General features: G+C 40.8%; 1 protein-coding gene across 4 annotated transcripts in view; it reads right to left on the reverse strand.

Moving 5' to 3' along the window:
* SORT1 (sortilin 1) overlaps window positions 1–20,217 on the reverse strand; it is an 88,344-nt gene that overhangs the window by 59,740 nt on the left and 8,387 nt on the right. For all 4 annotated transcript variants that reach the window (XM_005271100.3, NM_002959.7, NM_001205228.2 and 1 more), the window contains exon 2: window positions 216–275. In XM_005271100.3, coding sequence (XP_005271157.1) covers window positions 216–275 — 60 coding nt within the window. The remainder of the gene's footprint in view (window positions 1–215; window positions 276–20,217) is intronic.

A 20,217-nucleotide genomic window follows, 5' to 3' on the forward strand; every position in this document is an offset into this window, starting at 1 on the left:
TCCGTCCCCACCCCCCCGCAAAAAAGATGTTCCCAATTCTAAAGCAAAACCAACACAACTACAACTTCCTGAAAGTCTGTCTTGCAAACATGTGTTTTCTGTGATTGAGGCTAAAGACAGTTTCAGGAAGAAATGATATTAGGTGCTTAACCCTTCCCCAAATCTGTTATCATCTTCTTGCTGGGCTGAAATAACAGACTCAAAATATGACTTACCCCAGTGCTATCTCCAACCCAGGACAAGGATACTGAGCCTCTGAGATCATCAAACACATGCTATAAGGGGAAAAAAAATTAATTTAGAAATGACAGCCACTCTCCTTCAATCTTTGGCTTCTTTAAATATCTGAACTTTATTACTGTTCAGAGTAATTAAGTTCATAATTACAAAGTGGGTATGGATTCCCAGTACAAAATTTGGGAGGGATGGGATTTAACTACTTAATGTGAATCACAAATAACTTGGAAATTTAAATTCTCTCTAACACAAAGTAAGCCAAGCAGATGAGTTTTCTTTACTGCACCAGATGGGGAGATGGGAGATGGGACAATCTAATTGCTTTCTCCAACAGAACTAAATATAAAGGTATAGCAAAGTATTTTTAGGATGCTTTAAAACAAAAGATCATAGCCCACACTGGCAGGCGTAATTGTAACCAAATCAACATAATTTAAATTTTTCTGGGCATCCTTTACAGTATAGCTGAAAAGTTCGTAACTGGATTCCTTTTACTTCTAGTCTAGCTCACTCAAAAATGACAACGGGCAGAAGCAAGAAGCAAATGCCTTTGTTTCACCTTTTTATTTAATAACAATAGTAATAATGATAATAATAAAACAACCTTACTAGAGTTGCAGTGAGAGTAAGGAGGTAAAAAAGGGAAAGCTGGTATATTATATCCAAAATATAGTAAGCATGTTAAAATATAGTTATAATAATCATTGTAGGTGGTTTTGGGTTTTGTTTTTCAAATACTTCCTTTCTCTACTTATACAATAATATATATTCATTAAAGAAGATGTAGACAATTATAAGAACGCATAATAAAGATAAGTCACTCATAATCCTACCACATAGAGATATTCAAGGTTAATATTATATGTATTAATACAATCGTCTGTTCTCTATAATTTTTGTAACTGATAAAAAAAATAAAAATTCCAAAGAGGTAATAACTGCACTTGGCAAAAATTTCAAACCATATAGAAATTACATACTATATAGAGTCTATATAGCAAAGAGTGAAGATCCTTCTCTTTTCCAGGCCACATGCTCACCACCCAAGCCCCATTTCTTAGACAGTTTAATAGTTCAGTATATATTTCTAATAAATGTGGATGATTATGCTTTTTTCTTAAGACTTATAATCTTACTAAGATTTTAAAATCTTAAACATGCCTTGCCCTCCCAGATATGAGAAGCTCCTTGGAAGCTGGGGAATGTAACTTTATACTTCTTGGTACTCCCTGTGCCTTCCACAGGAATACTTTGCACACTCAGTAAGCATTTGTTGAAAATGATTACACATCCTCCCCAAACCACAAACTCAACCTCAAAATAGAACATGTCTATAAATGGTTGGGATGCCAGCTACTTGGTCACTCAAGCCACCAATCCCACATAGAAATCTAAAGAAACAGAACTCAAAACATGAACTGTTTTGTTTATCTTCGAATTTTCTCTTGCAGTCTTGAATGGGCTTCCGAATTCACGTATGTGATTTCCCCTCTGGACCGTAAGTACCTTTGATGTCAAAAGAATCTCTTACACAATTTTTGTAAGTTAGTACAATCAGTGCCTCACGCAGGTCTTGCTCCGTAAATAATGGTTAACTCTCAAATGCTCGGCAGAGCTTCTCACAGCCTCTGCAGGAAAGAAGGGCTATTCAGACATGCAGGCTTGCCAGGCATCTGAGAAAAAGTAGGGCTGCCAGAGCTTCTGAAACCAGAGGCTTAAAAACTGACATAGCAGTGTGTCTTATATGATATTTCACACATAGCAAAACCTCACATTCTCTTGAGTGAGGATAGTGTCTGAAATGACATCAATGAGGTCCTTCAGGAAAAACAGGAACATCCAGAGCTACCACAAGCACCAGGCAGATCACAAGGGCTAAGATCACAGTCATCTAAACACAGGTTATCTTTCCAAGGAAGGTCCTTGTCATAACTAAGAGAAAAGAAAAAGTCCATCAGTTATGGCACTGGAATTCGTGGTTGTCTTCATCAGGCTGTAAGATATCAGTCTTGAGCCAATCAGGACTGCAACTTTTACTTTTCAGGCAATGCTCTACACAGCCGACCCAGTCAATGCAGACTGGCATTACCCACATTTTCCTATTGCTCAACTACAGAATGAGGAGGATTATCACGTGTCACCGGCAACTCTCAGCTTCACTGAAACAACTGAAATGGTAATGGACCTCACTCATCATCCAAAGAGTTCCTTTGGAAATGTAGGCCAGATTTACTAGCAAAACTGTGGTTTTCTACTGCCCTTAAGCTGTCCCTCCCACCCACTCCAAATAACCAATGAAGATTTGCTTTTGAAAATGGGCAAACTCACTGAAAAACTCATCTACCTATAGCAAATGTAATTAATTTTTTAATATTTCAGTCTCTAACATTCTTATACTGGTGAAAGTTAAAAAAGAAAAATGAAATGAGATGTTACAGCAGGCCCAAAGGTTAAGCAGAAAGAAAAGGTCATATGGAAAGGAGATAAATCCAGGAGAGCTAGGGACCCAAGAGTACAGATTCAATCCTGCCACTTCAATGGGAGAAAAAAATACGGATGTCCAGGAAAGGGCAGACAACCTGGTCATGGTTAGGAGACAGAATTCACAAGTCAGCACAAAGCCATCAATCCTAATCCAGAATCATTTCTAATATTTAAGACAACGTACATGTCATTCTACACTGCAGTGGCATCTTAGATCTTTCAAAATATGTATTACAGCACTTTTAATTGTAGCCACAAGAACCTTGCCTGTCCTCCCCACTAGACCTGAGGTCCATCTGGTAAAGGAATCAAGCCCATACATTTCAGCAGCTAACACACAGCATAGTGCACAGTGGGCACGCAATAAATATTGAATTCTTTAAGAACTACTTATGAAGTTTTGAAAAAGATGACGCCCAAGTAAAAGGATAAGGCCAGGCCCACTTAACTTCCCCATGACAGACATGAGTATGAAATGTAAAAGTTCATTTCTGGGTGGACTTCTGCTTCTGGTCAAGATGGAGTGACAGGGATCACATTTACCTTTCTACCGGAAACAGCTAATAAAAAACAAAACAAAACAAAACAAAAACACAGAATGGGCCGGGCGCGGTGGCTCACACCTGTAACCCCAGTACTTTGGGAGGCCGAGACAGGCGGATCACGAGGTCAGGAGTTCGACTGAAACCCCGTCTCTACTAAAGATACAAAAAATTAGCCGGGCGTGGTGGCGGGCACCTGTAGTCCCAGCTACTCCGGAGGCTGAGGCAGGAGAATGGCGTGAACCTGGGAGGCGGAGCTTGCAGTGAGCCGAGAGCGCGCCACTGCACTCCAGCCTGGGCGACAGAGCGAGGCTCCGTCTCAAAAAAAAAAAAAAAAGATACAAAAAATTAGCCAGGCGCGGTAGCTACTCGGGAGGCTGAGGCAGAGAATTGCTTGAACCCGAGAGGCGGAGGCTGCAGTGAGGCAAGATTGCGCCACTGCACTCTAGCCTGTGCGACAGGGCAAGACTCCATCTCAAAAAAGAAAAGAAAAGAAAAAAAAACCCAAAACGACAGAATATATGAAATGACTGTTTCCAAGATATTGGACACCAGGCACAAAGGACGACGATTCCTGAAAGACAAGGAACTGAACAAGGAGGACCCTACAGCTAACTGGCTTACTGCCTGGAGAGAATTTCAGGCACAGTGCAGGGGAGGGGCACCCAGGCAGAGTCCAGAGTTCTTCCTAAACTGAAGAGAGGAAGCTGATATATCGTCTGGGGAGGCCAAAGAGGTTCACAGGGCAGAAGATTAGAGAAGAAAGACTTACACAGAAAAAAAATTCTGGAGATCTGAGCAGGGGGCCTCCCCAGCCACCCCACCAAGTCTTCAGCTGAACACCCATCAGCACACGCATGTGAGGAAACTACCTGAGGCCAGGGAAATAATTACCTGAAAGGACGGCAGAGAACAATATTCAGACCTCACACAGGAACAGGAATAATTCCTGTTACCAGCAACCATAATAGGAAACCTCGTTATTTCAAGGAAATTGGGTAGAGTACTCAGAAACATTTACCTCTGTGGTAAAGAAAAATAACCCCAGACTTAACGCTGTGCCGGTCCCGCCTAAAAATGCTTAAAAGCAAGACCCAAAAGGATCAAACTGTTTCCAAGTAACCAGTGTTCCAGAACAAAGTTCAAGAATATTTAAAAGAATACAAAAATATCTAGCACCCAACAAGCTAAGACTCACAATATCCAACTGAAAAATCATCAGGTGGGTAGGTGCAGTAGCTTATGTCTATAATCCCAGCCCTTTGGGAGGCCGAGGTGGGAGGATCACTTGAGGCCAGGAGTTCAAAGCCAGCCTGGGCAATGTAGCAAGACCCCCATTTCCACAAAAACAATTTAAAAAAATCAGCTAGGCATGGTGGCACATGCTTGTAGCCCTCGCTACTTGGGAGGCTGAGGCAGGAGGATCTCTTGAGCCCAGGAGTTTGAGGCTACAGTGAGCTATGATCATACCACTGCACTCCAGCCTGAGCAACAGAGCAAGACCCTGTCTCTTAAAATAAATTTTTAAAAATAACCAGGCACGCAAAGAAGAAATCAGGACCCATAATGAAGAGAAAAATCAAACTAACTCAGAAATAACAAGATAATTAGTAGATAAGGACATTGCAACAGTTGTAACTGTACTCCACAAGAAATTAGAGAATGGATTGAGAATGTTAAAGAAAAAAAATTTTTTTAAAGACTTAAAATTTTTTAAAGACCCAGTGGCTCATGCCTATAATCCCAGCATTTTGGGAGGCCAAGGTGGGCGGATCACTTGAGGTCAAGAGTTCGAGACCAGCCTGGCCAACATGGTAAAATCCCGTCTCCACTAAAAATACGAAAATTACTAAAATACTAAAAATTAGCCAAGTGTGGTGGTGGGCACCTGTAATCCCAGCTACTCAAGAGGCTGAGGGAGGAGAATCACTTGAATCCAGGAGGCAGAGGTTGCAGTGAGCAGAGATTGGACCATTGCACTACAGCTTGGGTGACAAGAAAACACCGTCTCAAAAAAAAAAAGAAAGAAAGAAAAGAAAAAGACTTAAATTAGACTTGTAGAAATGAGTATTACAATGACTGAAATGAAAAGTACACTGGATAGGGTGCTGTGGCTCATGCCTGTAATCCCAGCACTTTGGGAGACTGAGGCGGGCAGATCACCTGAGTTCAGAAGTTTGAGACCAGCCTCACCAACATGGTGAAAACTTGTCTCTACTAAAAATACAAAAACTAGCCAGGCGTGGTGACATACACCTGTAGTCCCAGCTACTCAGAAGGCTGAGGCAGGAGAATCGCTTGAACCTGGGAGGTGGAGGCTGTATTGAGCCAAGATTGCACGACTGAACTCCACCTGAGTGACAGAGTGAGACTCCGTCTCAAAAACAAACAAACAAAAAAACAAACACTGGATAGGCTGAACAGGAGATTAGACACTGTAGAAGAGGTGAGTGTGAACCTGAAGCCATACCAACAGAAACTATCCAAAGTGAAACACAGAGATAAAAAAAGACAAAAAATGAACAGAGCTATCAATTCAGAAGATGTTCTACAATTTCTACAAATGTTCTTAAAGTTGTTCTACAGCTCAGCGATGGCTCTGTTCATTCTTTTTGAAGTAGAACAACTTCAAGCAGCTGATTATATATGCAATCAGGGCATCTAGAGGAGGCTGGGCTGGAGACAGAAAAAAAAGTTAAGATATAATAGCCACGGTGGCTCACGCCTGTAATCCCAGCACTTTGGGAGGCCAAGGCGGGCAGATCACGAGGTCAGGAGATCAAGACCATCCCCGTCTCTACTAAAAATACAAAAAATTCGCCGGGCGAGGTGGCGGGCGCCTGTAGTACCAGCTACGCGGGAGGCTGAGGCAGGAGAATGGCGTGAACCCCAGGGGGCGGTGCCTGCAGTGAGCCGAGATCGCGCCACTGCACTCCAGCCTGGGCGACAGTGAGACTCCGTTTCAAAAAAAAAAAAAAAAGATATAATAGCCAAAATTTCCCCAAATGTGATGAAAAGGATAAACCCAGAGATCCAAGAAGCTCAGAAACCCTAAGCTCAAGAAACACGATGAAAAATACACCAAAGCACATCATATCATAGTCAAATAATCTAAAATCAGCAATAGAGAAAAATCTTAAAAGCATCCACAAAAAAGATGACATTACATACAGAGAAACAAAGAATGATAGCCGACTCTTCCTACAATGCAAGCCAGACAGTGGAGTAACATATTTAAAGTACTGGCAAAAAAACAGTCAAGCTGTAATTCTATAGCAAGTGAAACTATTTTTCAAAAATGCAGGTTTCACAATGAGATACCATCTCATACTAGAAAGAATGACTATTACTAAAACATCACACACACACACACAAAAACAGATACTGGTGAGGCTGTGGAGAAAAGGGAGTGTTTATACACTGTTGGAGGGAATGTTCAGCCCCTGTGAAAAGCGATTTGGAGATTTCTCAAAGAACTTAAAGGGCCGGGCGTGGTGGCTCACGCTTGTAATCCCAGCACTTTGGGAGGCCGAGGCGGGCGGATCACGAGGTCAGGAGATCGAGACTACGGTGAAACCCCGTCTCTACTAAAAATACAAAAAATTAGCCGGGCGTGGCGGCGGGCGCCTGTAGTCCCAGCTACTCGGAGAGGCTGAGGCAGGAGAATGGCGTGAACCCGGGAGGCGGAGCTTGCAGTGAGCCGTGATCGCGCCACCGCATTCCAGCCTGGGCAACAGAGGGAGACTCCATCTCAAAAAAAAAAAAAAAAAAAGGAACTTAAAAGAGAACTATGATCTGACCCAGCAATCCTGTTACTGGGTATATATCCAAAAGAAAACAAATCATTCTACCAAAAAGACACATGCACTATGTTAATTATAGCTCTATTTACAATAGCAAAGACATGGAATCAACCTAGGTGCCCATCAGCAGTGGATTGGATAAAGAAAATATGGTCTATATACACCATGTAATACTATGGAGCCATAAAATGAATGATATCATGTCCCTTGCAGCAACATGGATGCACATGGAGGCCATTACCCTCAGTAAATTAACACAGAAACAGAAAACCAAATACCACATGCTCTCACTTATATTGGGAGGTAAACACTGGGTACTCATGGACATAAAGATGGCAACAACAGAAACGGGATTATTAGAGGAGGGACGCAGGTGAGTACTGGTAAACTAACTTTTGGGTACTATGTTCACTACCTGAGTGATGGGATCATTTGTATCCCAGCATCGCACAATATACCCAGGTAACAAACCTGCACATGTACCCCTAAATCTAAAAGTTGAAAAATGCAACTTTCAAAAAGGAAAAGTTCTGTGTTTCTGCACTTGTCCATTGCTCCTCAGCATTCTATTGTGGGTGTTTCTTTTTGACAGCCACAGGGGACAGACTATACCAGTGAAAAAGATCTGAAAGACAGCCTAAGTCCCATCTTTCACTGTAAAACCAACCATTCTGGTTTGTAATTATCACAGCTCAAAGTGATCTCCTCTTCCTAAGCATTATCCTCACAGCATTCACAGACACTCCTGGTACTATAACTATTTATATTTATATATAAATGTAAACTATATGTACATGTAAACTATACATGTAGAACTATTTACATATTTGTCTTCCTCTCAAATTATGCTATAAATTCTTAATGGCAGACGCTATAATTTGGTATTACCCATCAGGCCTAGCACAAGGTCTTATATTTATTAGATGCTCCACAAACATCTCTGTAAAAGTCTATCACAAACTCCTGCTACTAACATTATTTCTTTTTCTTAGTATTTTTTTTAACTCATGATAGCTGTTTGTCCTGAACTAACATTATTGATCTGTATGTAATCTTCCTTCTAACACGGTTACTGCTGTCTCAGTAAATAATGGCTGAATAGCGTTTATTCCTATGCTCTTCCAGCCAGCCAAGACACTGTTATACACTGGTATGTGTTCTTAGATGTTCACACATGATGGTGACCTTACTCCTCTCTTTCCCATTGTAGTTACCATTAACTTCACGTAGCTAAACATTGGTAAAGATGCCCTGAACACGTCGAAGTGTTTAGAGGCACTGAGCAGGGGTAGTCTATATAGAAGAGAAATTCAAATTTCAAGTGAAGAAATAAAGGTCTGACTACTGAGATTTAAGCAGAGTTTACAGAGTTGGGAGGCAGATATAAGCAAGAGCAAGGCAATGAGAGAAGGCAGCGGTGCAGGTAGAACACACAGGAAGATAATATGCAAGTATCTTGAAAATTTTCAAAGAACACCACAAATAAAATCTATTAATATCACCATCTAGTAAAATGCTGAGTATACAGTAAATGCTATTAAGACTTGTTAAAATAAAAAAAGAATTTCAGGCTGAGTATGGTGGTTCATGCCTGTAATCCCAGCACATTGGGAGGCTGAGGTGGGAGGTCACTTGAGTCCACGAGTTCAAGACCAGCCTGGGCAATATAGTGAGACCCCGCCCCCATCGCTACAAAAAGTTTAAAAATCAGCCAGGCATGGTGGTACACACCTGTAGTTCTAGCTACTCAGGAAGCTGAGGTAGGAGGATCACTTGAGCCCAGGAATTCGAAGCTGCAGTAAGCTATGATCATGCCACTGCACTCTAGTCTGGAAAACAGAGAGAGACCCGGTCTATATTTAAAAGAATAATAATAAGAAGAATCTCAAGGTCAGAATAAAGAAAGTTAAGGTTGAAATAGAAGGAAAATAAAAATAGTGAAAAGGAAATATATTTAAGAAGACACTTTAGAAATAGTACTCCTGCTTGAAAGACCCAAAGAAAGCTGAGAGAGGCCACTGGATCACTTAGACAGGAAAGGTGTCTGATGATACATAGGCCTGAAAATAATGAGCCAATAAGTTATGGCTCAATTGCTGTAATCAAGGCAAAGTAAGAAGAATAAATGAAATATGAGCAGAGGATAAAGCTTTGTTGCCAGAAATAACTGAAAGGCGGAATAATCCCTATAGGAAGGGAAAACCCAAAACCTCTGACACAGTATTACCGAAGAATGTTCTATAATATCAAAATAATGAATCATATAAAAACATCTAGTACTATGTTAGAGAGTCCAGCCAACAGAAGGTAGAGTGAATGATATATATATATATATATATATATATATATATATATATATATATATATATATATATATATATAAAGATGTTATGTGTTAGTTGTATAAATGATAATTCAAATGGAGAGTGTGGGGAGAAGTGAAGCATGTTTTGTTTCTGGTAAACAATAACTGGAGGCCAGGCATGATGGCTCACACCACACCTGTAATCCCAGCATCTTGGGAGGCTGAGGCGGGTGGATCACCTGAGGTCAGGAGTTCAAGACCCGCCTGACCAATATGGTGAAACTCCGTCTCTACTAAAAATACAAAAATTAGCTGGGTGTGGTGGCACACACCTGTAGGCCCAGCTACTGAGGAGGCTGAGGCAGAAGAATTGCTTGAACCCAGGAAGCAGAGGTTGCAGTGAGCCGAGACTGCGCCACTGCACTCCAGCCTGGGTGACAAAGTGAAACGCCGTCTCAAAAAGAAAAAAAAAAAATAGCTGTGTTGCTCTAATGTAGCATGCCTAAGAGGCAGATTGTTGGGGTGTCCAATCTTTTGGCTTCCCTGGGGCACACTGGCAGAAAAATTGTCTTGGGCCACACATAAAATACATTAACACTAACAATAGCTAATTAGCTAAAAAAAAAAAAATCATACAAAAAAATCTCATAATGTTTTAAGAAAGTTTACGAATTTGTATTGGGTTGCATTCAAAGCCACCCTGGGCCACATGTGGCCCACGGGCTGTGGGTTGGACAAGCTTCATTTGGCACAAAGAGAACACGATCTGGTCACTTCATATTGCTAAGGAGTCAGCTAAACGTATGATCTAGAAACAGGTCAAAATTAAGGAAAACTATGTAAATATGCTGTTTCTGTGCTTAACAGTCCAAAAGCCAGTACCCTGAGGAGCCCAGAGCAAATACAGTCATTCAGATGACCTAATCCTACCCTAGGATAGGAAGCACAGAAGCCAAGAAGTTTAAGAGTAGCTGGGTGAAATGTCAGCTTGATTCTACCAGGAGCAGATGAGCATGAAATTATTGCCACTTTTGGAAAAATTTATTAATCCCATGACAGAGTTACTGGCGCAGGAATAGACTAATCAATAGAGCAAAACAGATCCAGGAATGGATGAGGTTTCTTTTAGCACATGATAAAGCTAGCATTTCAAGTTAGTGGTATAAGAACACTGGAAAAACTGGCTATTTGGAAAAAAAATAAAATAAAAAGCTGAATTCCTAACTCCCTTCTTAAAATGCCTAAATAAATTCCATATAGGGCGAAGATTTAAATGTAAAAAAATTAAATTATAAAAATACTAGAAATGGCCAGGCACAGTGGCTCACCCCTGTAATCCTAGCATTTTGGGAGGCCCAGGTGGGTGGACTGCTTGAGCCCAGGAGTTTGAGACCAGCCTGGGCAACATAGTGAGACCCTGTCTCTACCAAAAAAGAAAACAAACAAAAAAACAATAGCCAGGTGTGGTGGCATAGCATGAGTTTGTGGTCCCAGCGACTCAGGAGGTTGAGGTGGGAGGATTGCTTGAGCCTGGGAGTTCGAGGCTGTAGTGATCTGTGATGGCACCACTGTACTCCAGCCTGGGTGACAGAGTGGGACCCTGTGTCAAAAAATGATACTAGAAGTATAAGCGAATATTTTTATAACCTTGGAATGGGAAGACCTTTACAAAAATGGTACAAAAATCAGAACTCATACTTAAGGATTTACTCTGACTATGTAAAAAGTTTAAATTGCAAAACACCAAAGAGAAAGCTGAAAAAAACTGGAAAAAAATATTTGTAACATGACAAAGTATTAATATAGAAAGGGTTTCAATTAATATAAAATTATTTGTAACATGACAAAATATTAATATAGAAAGGGTTTTCAAATCAGTAGGAAACAGGCCAAAACCTCAAACAGGTTTTCGGAAAATAGGGAAAGAACATGAGCACCCAATTCATAGAAGGACAAAGAAATGGCCAATAAACATTTGAAAAGCTATTTAATCTCTAAAACAAAAAGAACAGGCCGGTGCAGTGGCTCACACCTGTAATCCCAGGCTTTGGGAGGCCAAGGCGGGAGGATCACTTGAGCCTGGGAGTTTGAGACCAGCCTGGGCAACATGGCAAAACCCTGTCGCCACAAAAAAAAAAAAAAAAAAAAAAAAAAAAATTAGCCGGGTATGGTGGTGTGCACCTGTAGTCCCAGCTACTCAGGAGGCTGAGATGGGAGGGTGGTTTGAGCCCAGGAAGTAGAGGTTGTAGTGAGCCAAGAAAGAAAAAGAAAAATATGACATTTTTGCCTTTCAGACTGGCAAAGATTAAAAGACTTGACAAAATGTATCCAGTGAGGGCATAGGGACCAGAGCACCTTCTTCTACGGTGGGTGGGAGTACATAAATTGCTGCAACTTTTCTGGAGAGCTATTTGGTGATGCAAATAAAAACTGAGAACGTCCGTATCATGTGCCTGAGCAAATCCTATTCTTAGGAATTTGTCATAAGGGGATAATCACATACCTTTATAAAAGATGTCATATGTTGGGGTGATTACTGCAGCTAACAACTATTGAACATTCCCCACATGTCATCTTCTGTGTTAGGTATCTTACACACATTATTATTTAATCCACATAACCCCATGAGATATTACTATACCTGTATATTATAAATGAAGAACTGGAGATTTGTTAAGTAAATTATGTTATGCCATACAACAATATATCAGGTGCTATTAAAAATGTTTCAAGAACAAGGAAAAAAAGAAGAAACGTTTAAAAAAATCTTAAAAAACCCAAAACTAAAATGTTTCAGGTATTTACTGACATTGAAAGATACTCAGAGCATATTAGTAAAAAGCAGGCTACAAAACAGCATGTGACATCATATGTGCATATTTATGGTTACAATGTTATCAGGGGCCGGGCACAGTGGCTCACACCTATAATCCTAGTACTTTGGGAGGATGAGGCAGAACAATTGCTTAAGCTCAGGAGTTTGAGACCAGCCTGGGAAACATAGTGAGACTTTGCCTCCAAAAAACCAACAATAACAACAACAATAAAAACTAGCCAGGCATGGTGGCAAGCACCTGTCGTCCCAGATACACTGTTTGAGCCCAGGAGGTCAAGGCTACAGTCAGCCATGATTGTGCCACTGCACTCTAGTCTGGATGACAGAGCAAGATTGTCCCTTAAAAAAGAAAAAAAAAAGGTATCTGGAAGGATACCCTTTAAAATATCAATAGCAACTGTCTTTAAGTGGTATTATAGAATTGATAGGGGTGCACTCTTCTTTATAGTTTTTCTAGAGTGCATAAATTACTCTCATCCCACCTCCAATTGGCAGAAATCATTTTAAAAATAAAACTATATAAGTAAGCTATTTTTACTTAAAAAAAAAAGGAAGGAAAGAAAAAGTATAAAGGAAAGGGTGATATAAAAAGTACACATAGACCATATCAGTTTATCTATTTATTCTTTTTTGGGACAAAGTCTCACTCTGTTGCCCAGGCTGGAGTGCAATGGCATGATCTCAGCTCACTGCAACCTCCACCTTCTGGGTTCAAGCAAGTCTCATGCCTCAGCCTTCCCAGTAGCTAAGATTACAGGTGCATGCCACCATGCCTGGCTAATTTTTGTATTTTTAGTAGAGATGGGGTTTTACCATGTTGGCCAGGATGGTTTCAAACTCCTGACCTCAAGTGATCTGTCTGCCTCAGCCTCCCAAAGTGCTGGGATTACAGGTGTGAACCACCACGCCTGGACGCATGTTAGTTTATTCTTATTTATATTACACTAGTTAACAGATATACCAGAAGGTTACAGGATAGGTCAAAGAGCCCCTGCTACACTGAGGCACAGGAACATAGGTGGTCTTGATGTAAGGTAGACCTCCTAATATCATTAATGACTGATAACACTAAACTTCCTTTTCAGAGTCACATTCAGAGCCTTTTGTCCATTACCTATTGAACAGTGATTTCTGGTGTCCCAGATGGTACCAACAGCCATCTACTGCCCTCGGTAGGGGAGCTCTGGGAAGCAGAAGTAACTGGCTGGCATTTATAGTTGCCATCTGACTGTCAAATAGGTTTTCAGGAATTCATTATGTTAGAAAGCAGGGGACAGCTTGTACTACCTTCTCTAAAATGCATCCACCTTGAAAACGGATGATATAAGACTCATCCAAGCATTTATTGCCTACCATCTTAAAGCAGGGGGCCCCCATACTTTAGAGTTCATGAATTAGCACAATGTTCATTTCTACGATCGTCTGAATACCCCCTAGGTTCTGTTCACAAGATTCTTCATGGAAACAACCATCTTCCCATCTAATTAAACTAGAAACCAAATTAAATTACTGTTACTATAAGCTTGGAAAATTTAAAGTTGGTCCCAAGAGTCACTGTAGGTTGGAAAAAAATCCAGTCATGAGAAACTTACATGTTTAGTTACACACATGATCAAAAATAAAACACTGAAAAAACTAACACCTGCACTATTGCATGTGGGTCAGTTTTCCCAAGGCAAGGCCCAGCTTAAAAGCCACTTGCTGATGGCCTGACCCCATCAGGAGCAGCCTTTTTGACAAGCAAAGAAGGAAGTGAATTCAATGATGGCATTCTTCACATACCTGCCCTCTTTCAACAAATATGTCTGCATGCCTACCATGTGCTGTGATAATACATGCTCTGAGCTACTGAAGATTATAACCTATCAACAGGCATCTTATGTACAGAAATCTAAAAATAAAGGCTAAACATACTAGACTTTTAATCTACAGAAGTCAGCCTGTCACAATGAAAATAAAACTACAAAAGAACGTTAAGCCTAGCTCAGTAACTAACTGGTTGGGAAGGTAAGCACAAATCATCTTATCTGTTGGGAATCCATTTCCTCAGGGGTAAAACTGAGAATTACAAAGGCAAGGCATCGGTGATCCCATACAGACTGCCCATCTAGGATTAGGCTTCCAAACTCCAGTGAGGCCTAGAACACAACCTGAGTGATGCTTTTGCAGGCAGGAAGAAAATCCTAACAGAATATAGTTCTGTTAAATTAGGCACTGCTAGAATCATAAAACATGAGCCAGAAATAAGATCACAAATGTCCCAGTTCTCATGAAGTCTATTCTTGGAAATGAAAAAATTAACTACAAAATAATGTACAAGTTTCCAAATCTATTTAATTATTCAGAGTTTTCTGAGGGAGCATGATACAGAGGAGAGTACCAGGCTAATAATCAGTCAACCCAAATTTTATTTCCAGCTCTACAAAACGCTGCGTGAAATTGGGCAGCACAACCTGACATCATTACCGAAGTGCGGGGGCTAGAATGACAATCTTTCCAGTCTCTCTAAGCTTTAAAATTCTATGACTCATCAATAATTTAGCCACTCAGTTTGCTTTTCAACTGCTATGTATCTGGGTTTTTGTTGTTTTCGAGATCAGCTCCCTGCTCCACAATAAGCCAGTGTTCAAAGGAGAGGGGCAACAGCAACCTCCATGATTCAGATGCCTCAGCAACCCGGATACTCACCGAAAAGAAGCAAGGAGACCTCTGATGTCACTATCATGCATTAAAAATCTGTGCATTTGACTTCTAAGAGAAATTTGCAGACCATCACTCTAATTCAATTTATTAAACCGGTTAGAATTGTCTAATATTAGAAATCTGCTTTCTCAGCATAGAGAGGAAGCAAATCAAATTTGAGGGTGATATATGTAGAGACAGACAGGGACAACAGCAAGAGGAAGAGGATATTACAAGAGGAATTACAAAGGGAATATCATTTCTGCAGCAAAGAAGCAAACAGGCAGACAATGGCATTAAGTTTATAATCCAGGACATCTGAAATGGGAGAAGATAGCCCCACATATCTCAATAGCTCCTGTGGGTATTAAATGTCATACCACATTAAAATACTGTGAGTCATTGTCTTAGTCCATTTTCAGTTGCTATAAGAGAATATCCAAGACAGGGCAATTTATAAAGAAAAGACGTTTATGTAGCTCACAGTTCTGGAGGCTGTGAAGTCCAAGAGTATGGCATAGGCATCTGCAGAGGATCATCCCATGGCAGAAAGTGGAAGCAAGCACAGGAGACACAGAAAAGAAATAGGACCAGGCCAGGCATGGTAGCTCACGCCTGTAATTGCAGCACTTGGGAGGCCAAGGCAGGTGGATCACTTGAGGTCAGGAGTTTGAAACCAGCCTGGGCAACATGGTGAAACCCCATCTCTACTAAAAATGCAAAAATTAGCCAGGTGTGGTGGCGTACACCTGTAATCCCAGCTACTTGGGAGGCAGAGGCACGAGAATCCCTTGAACCTGGGAGGCGGAGGTTGCAGTGAGCTGAGATCACAACACTGCACTCCAGCCTGGACAATAGAGTGAGACTCTGTCTCAACAACAACAACAACAACAAAAAGAAAAGAAATAGGACCAAACTCTCTCCCTATTATAATTAACCCACTCCTGGGATAAAGGCCTTAATCCATTCATGAGTTGGTGCCCTCATGATATAATACCTCTTAAAGACCCACCACTTAATACTGTTACATTGACGATTAAGTTCCTAAAACATGAATTTGGGGAGGCACATTCAAACCACAGCAGTCCTGGTATAGCATAATTTATTCTCTTCTTAGTGACCTAGGCTCATACTGTTGACCAAGAAGGCAGAGAAGTATATTAGAAAGATTTCCATTAAAAAAGCAAGCAAACAAAAAACCTTTGGCACTTATAAAAGGGTAGGCTTAGTTTTTGAAAGTCACTTCCATGAAACAATTCATTTCTCAATAAATAGCTACATTTCATAATTTTTGCATTTAATTGTTATATCTTAGTTCATTTTAAAGAAAAGAAAGTGACAGAGAGATATGCTCCAGTTGCCAGCTGACTGAGCCGAGAGAACCATAAAGGCTTGCTGCTTCTCCCTTGGGTGTGGGCGCTAACCCCTTCCCCCATTCCCTCTGCTACAACCACACTGGCCTTCTTCCAGATCCTGGAGTATGCCAAGCTCTTTCTAGACCCAGGCCTTATGAACATGTTGTTCTCTCTGCCTGAGATACTCTTCCTGGCAAAATTCTATTCAAGTATCAGTTTAAATAATTTCTCAGTGAATCTTTCCTAATGCCCCAGACTAAAAAAGACCTGTCAATTATTCCTGTGGTTACTATTTTTCTTCTTGGTAATTACTACATTTATAATTATATATCATTTAGTGCCATTTTCTCTATTGGTCCATAAAGTTCCATCAAGGCAGAGGTCTGGTGTTCTACACCAGTTCCCAGGACCTGATAAGTGCCTCATGTGTATAGGTGCTCGACAAACAACTGCTGAATTAAAGAAAAACAATAATATTTAACCTTTACTAAGCACTTATTATATTAGTATTATATATTAAGGTACTCACTGTTAATTTATAAAGAAAGCAGCAGGCTCAGAGGCGTTAAGTAATTTGCTCAAAGTCAAAAAGTTGGTAAGTGGCAGAGCAAGGTTTCAATCTCATGTCTGTCTGACTCCAGACTACACATTTCATGACTACTCTTTCTTCAGCATTGTGGGAGGCAAAAGTGATGAAGGACTCATAGTACAAGCTGGGCCCTACCTTTAAGGAGTTTATCATTTAGGGAGTAAAACTTCTATAAATGAAACTGAACACAAGACAGAAGTGTTGTATTACATGGCACAGTCCAAAATTATAGAAGAGAACAGGAAAAACTAACAAGGGCTAGAAGGGCATTCAGACAGGAAGAAACCCATGAAAACAAAGATGGAGAAGCAACAGACCATATGGGGAGCTGAAGGGACTGGTTAGAAGATCACTTTAACTGGAACAGAGGGTTAATATAGGCCAGGAAGTGGTGAAATAGTAGGTTAAATAAATATGCACATAGGCCAGGTGTGGTGGCTCACACCTATACTCCTAGCACTTTGGGAGGCCCAGGCGGAAGGATCACTTGAGCCCAGGAATCCCAGACCAGCCTAGGCAGCATAGTAAGACCTCATCTCTATTTTTAAATAATTGTTAAAAGTTTAAAAAAGCAATATGCACATAATAAAAAATAATTCCATCAACATTCTGGTCCGCTATTCTTTCAAGCAAAGTTCCTAAGAAGTACCTATCACATTTCACTAATATTTCTTGAAACTTCACAGAGATCAGTAGAGTGCAAAGCTAACAGCAGCTGCTCAGTTAAAGAAAGGGGTGAAATATGCAAGGTGCTATTTCAGAGCTATCAACTTAAACCAGAGCCATTAACTCTTAACAAATTAAAGCTTAATGAAGGGGAAGAAAAATTGTTATTAAATTATAGTCTTTAAAAAATAATTTGGTCAGGTGCAGTGGCTCATGCCTGTAATCCCAGCACTTTGGGAGGCTGAGGCAGGCAGATCACCTGAGGTCAGGAGTTCAAGACCAGCCTGGCCAACATGGTGAAACCCCATCTCTACTAAAAATACAAAAATTAGCCAGGTGTGGTGGTGCACATCTGCAGTCCCAGCTACTTTGGAGGCTGAGGCAGGAGGATCACTTGAACCCAGGAGGCAGAGGTTGCAGTGAGCTGAAATCATGCCACTGTACTCCATCCAGCCAGGACAACAGTGAGACTCAGTCTCAAAAAATAAATAAATAAAAATAAATAACTTTAAGTTATTTCAACCTATTTACTAGCCAGGCACAGGGATATGTGCCTGTAGTCCTAGCTACTGCAGAGGCTGAGGCAGGAGGATCACTTGAGCCCAGGAATTCAAGGTTACAACAAACCATGATTACACCCCTGCACTCCAGTCTGGGTGACACAGTAAAGACCATGTCTCTTAAATTTTTAAATTTTGTTTAAAATTTAAAATTTTGTTTTAAAACAAAACAAAAACTATTTAACCATATATGCTTGAAGCTATTATAACCAGATGACCAGGTATCTGATTACTGTTTTCTGATTATTAATCTGATTATTTTCTTCTCTATCTCCCATAGCTTCAAGAAAGGCATTTTGGGCTGGGCGCGGTGGCTCACGCCTGCAATCCCAACACTTTGGGGCCGAGGTGGGTGGATCACGAGGTCAGGAGTTTAAGACCAGCCTGGCCAAGATGGTGAAACCCCATCTCTACTAAAAATACAAAAATTAGCCGGGTGTGGTGGCGGGCACCTGTAATCCCAGCTACTTGGGGGGCTGAGGCAGAGAACTGCTTGAGCCCCAGAGGCGGAGGTTGCAGTGAGCCGAGATAGTGCCACTGCACTCCAGCCTGGGCAACAGAGCGAGACCCTGTCTCAAAAAAAAAAGAAAAAGAAAGAAAGGCATTTTGAATAGATGATCTCTGCCTAAACCTATCTCCCACCCTCCTCTTTTTTCATCCTGAGTCCAGTGATACAAGTAGTACATTTTTTTTTCCTTTTAGATATGGGACCTCACTATGTTGCCCAGGCTGGCGTACAGTGGTTATTCACAGATGCGATCACAGTGTCCTATAGCTTTGAACTCCTGGGCTCAAGCTATCCTCCTGCCTCAGCCTTCCAAATAGCTGGAACTCTAGATGTGCACCACTACCTACCCCTAATAAATTTTTTTGTATTTTTGGAAGACAGTATCTCGCTCTGTTGCCCAGACTGGAATGCAGCGGCGCAATCATAGCTCACGACAGCCTCAAAACTCCTGGGCTCAAGTGATCCCCTCACCTCAGACTCTTGTGTGGCTAGGGCTACCGGCATATGCTACCATACCAGGCTAATTAAAAAAATTTTTTTATACAGATGGGGTCTCACTATGTTGCCCAGGCTGGTTTCAAACTCATGGGCTCAAGTGATTCTCTTGCCTCAGACTCCAAAAATCTTGGGATTATAGGTGTGAGTCACCCTGCTTAGCCAGGGCTAATATGTCTTAATCCAGATGCAGTTCTTGTGAGTACCTATAATAATTCTCTAGAAATATTAGAGATATGAAAAAAATTAAGCACATGTACAAATATTTAAGCATCTAACTGGTAATGTGTCAGAAGCTTTGTAATGAAAATCATTACAAGAAATCCTCAACAAAAGAATATACACTAAATCCTGTACTATCTTCACAATGACCCTAAGAGGTAGTATTAGTACTCCCATTTCATAGATGAAAAATCTAAGGTTCAGAGAGGTTAATTTGTCCATGGTCACCACTGAAGTTTGAATCCAGATCTAATACCTGAGATCCTGTTCCCCCAAACTACTGCCTCAAACCATCATCAATTATATTAACAAAAGTTTGACATAATCACAAAGGCTTAAAAAAAGAAGAAAACCACTACATACACGTCTTACATTTCTGCCAATCTTGACTCACTTTAATTCTTGCCACCCCCACCCAAGCCTGTCATCCAACTCTGCCAAGTGATAAACCAAACGCATTTATGCCTCATCCGTCTGCTTTAATACACATGCTCCTCAGGGTTTGGCTCAAGGGCTGTATCTATCAGGATCACCTGGCTGACAAGCAGGCCCTGTGGGGGCTGTGACACATCAGCAGGTTTATTAAGGAATTATACAAATCATACTCATACGGTACTTCAAGGTTTCAAAATATTTTCACATATATCTTCCCTTCAAAACTTCATGATAATCCTCCATTTTATGTGACGGGAAACTGAGGCCTAGAAAGGCTAGTTGAGCTCTGTTGAGGGTACTATGACCTTGAGAAAAAGAGTAGAATTCACAACTATATTACTTATAACTGGGATCTCATAACTTTGCCTTATCCCTAAAGCAAATGCATTGATTTCAACACTCCTATGAAACACTTCCAAATGCAGCACCATGTTGGGACATCTGTGTTCTACTCCCAGCTCTTGGCCAGTAAGCAAGTCAGCCAGCCGCATCAGCAAA

Source organism: Homo sapiens, chromosome 1, assembly GCF_000001405.40.
Source record: "Homo sapiens chromosome 1, GRCh38.p14 Primary Assembly".
Lineage (NCBI taxonomy): Eukaryota > Metazoa > Chordata > Mammalia > Primates > Hominidae > Homo > Homo sapiens.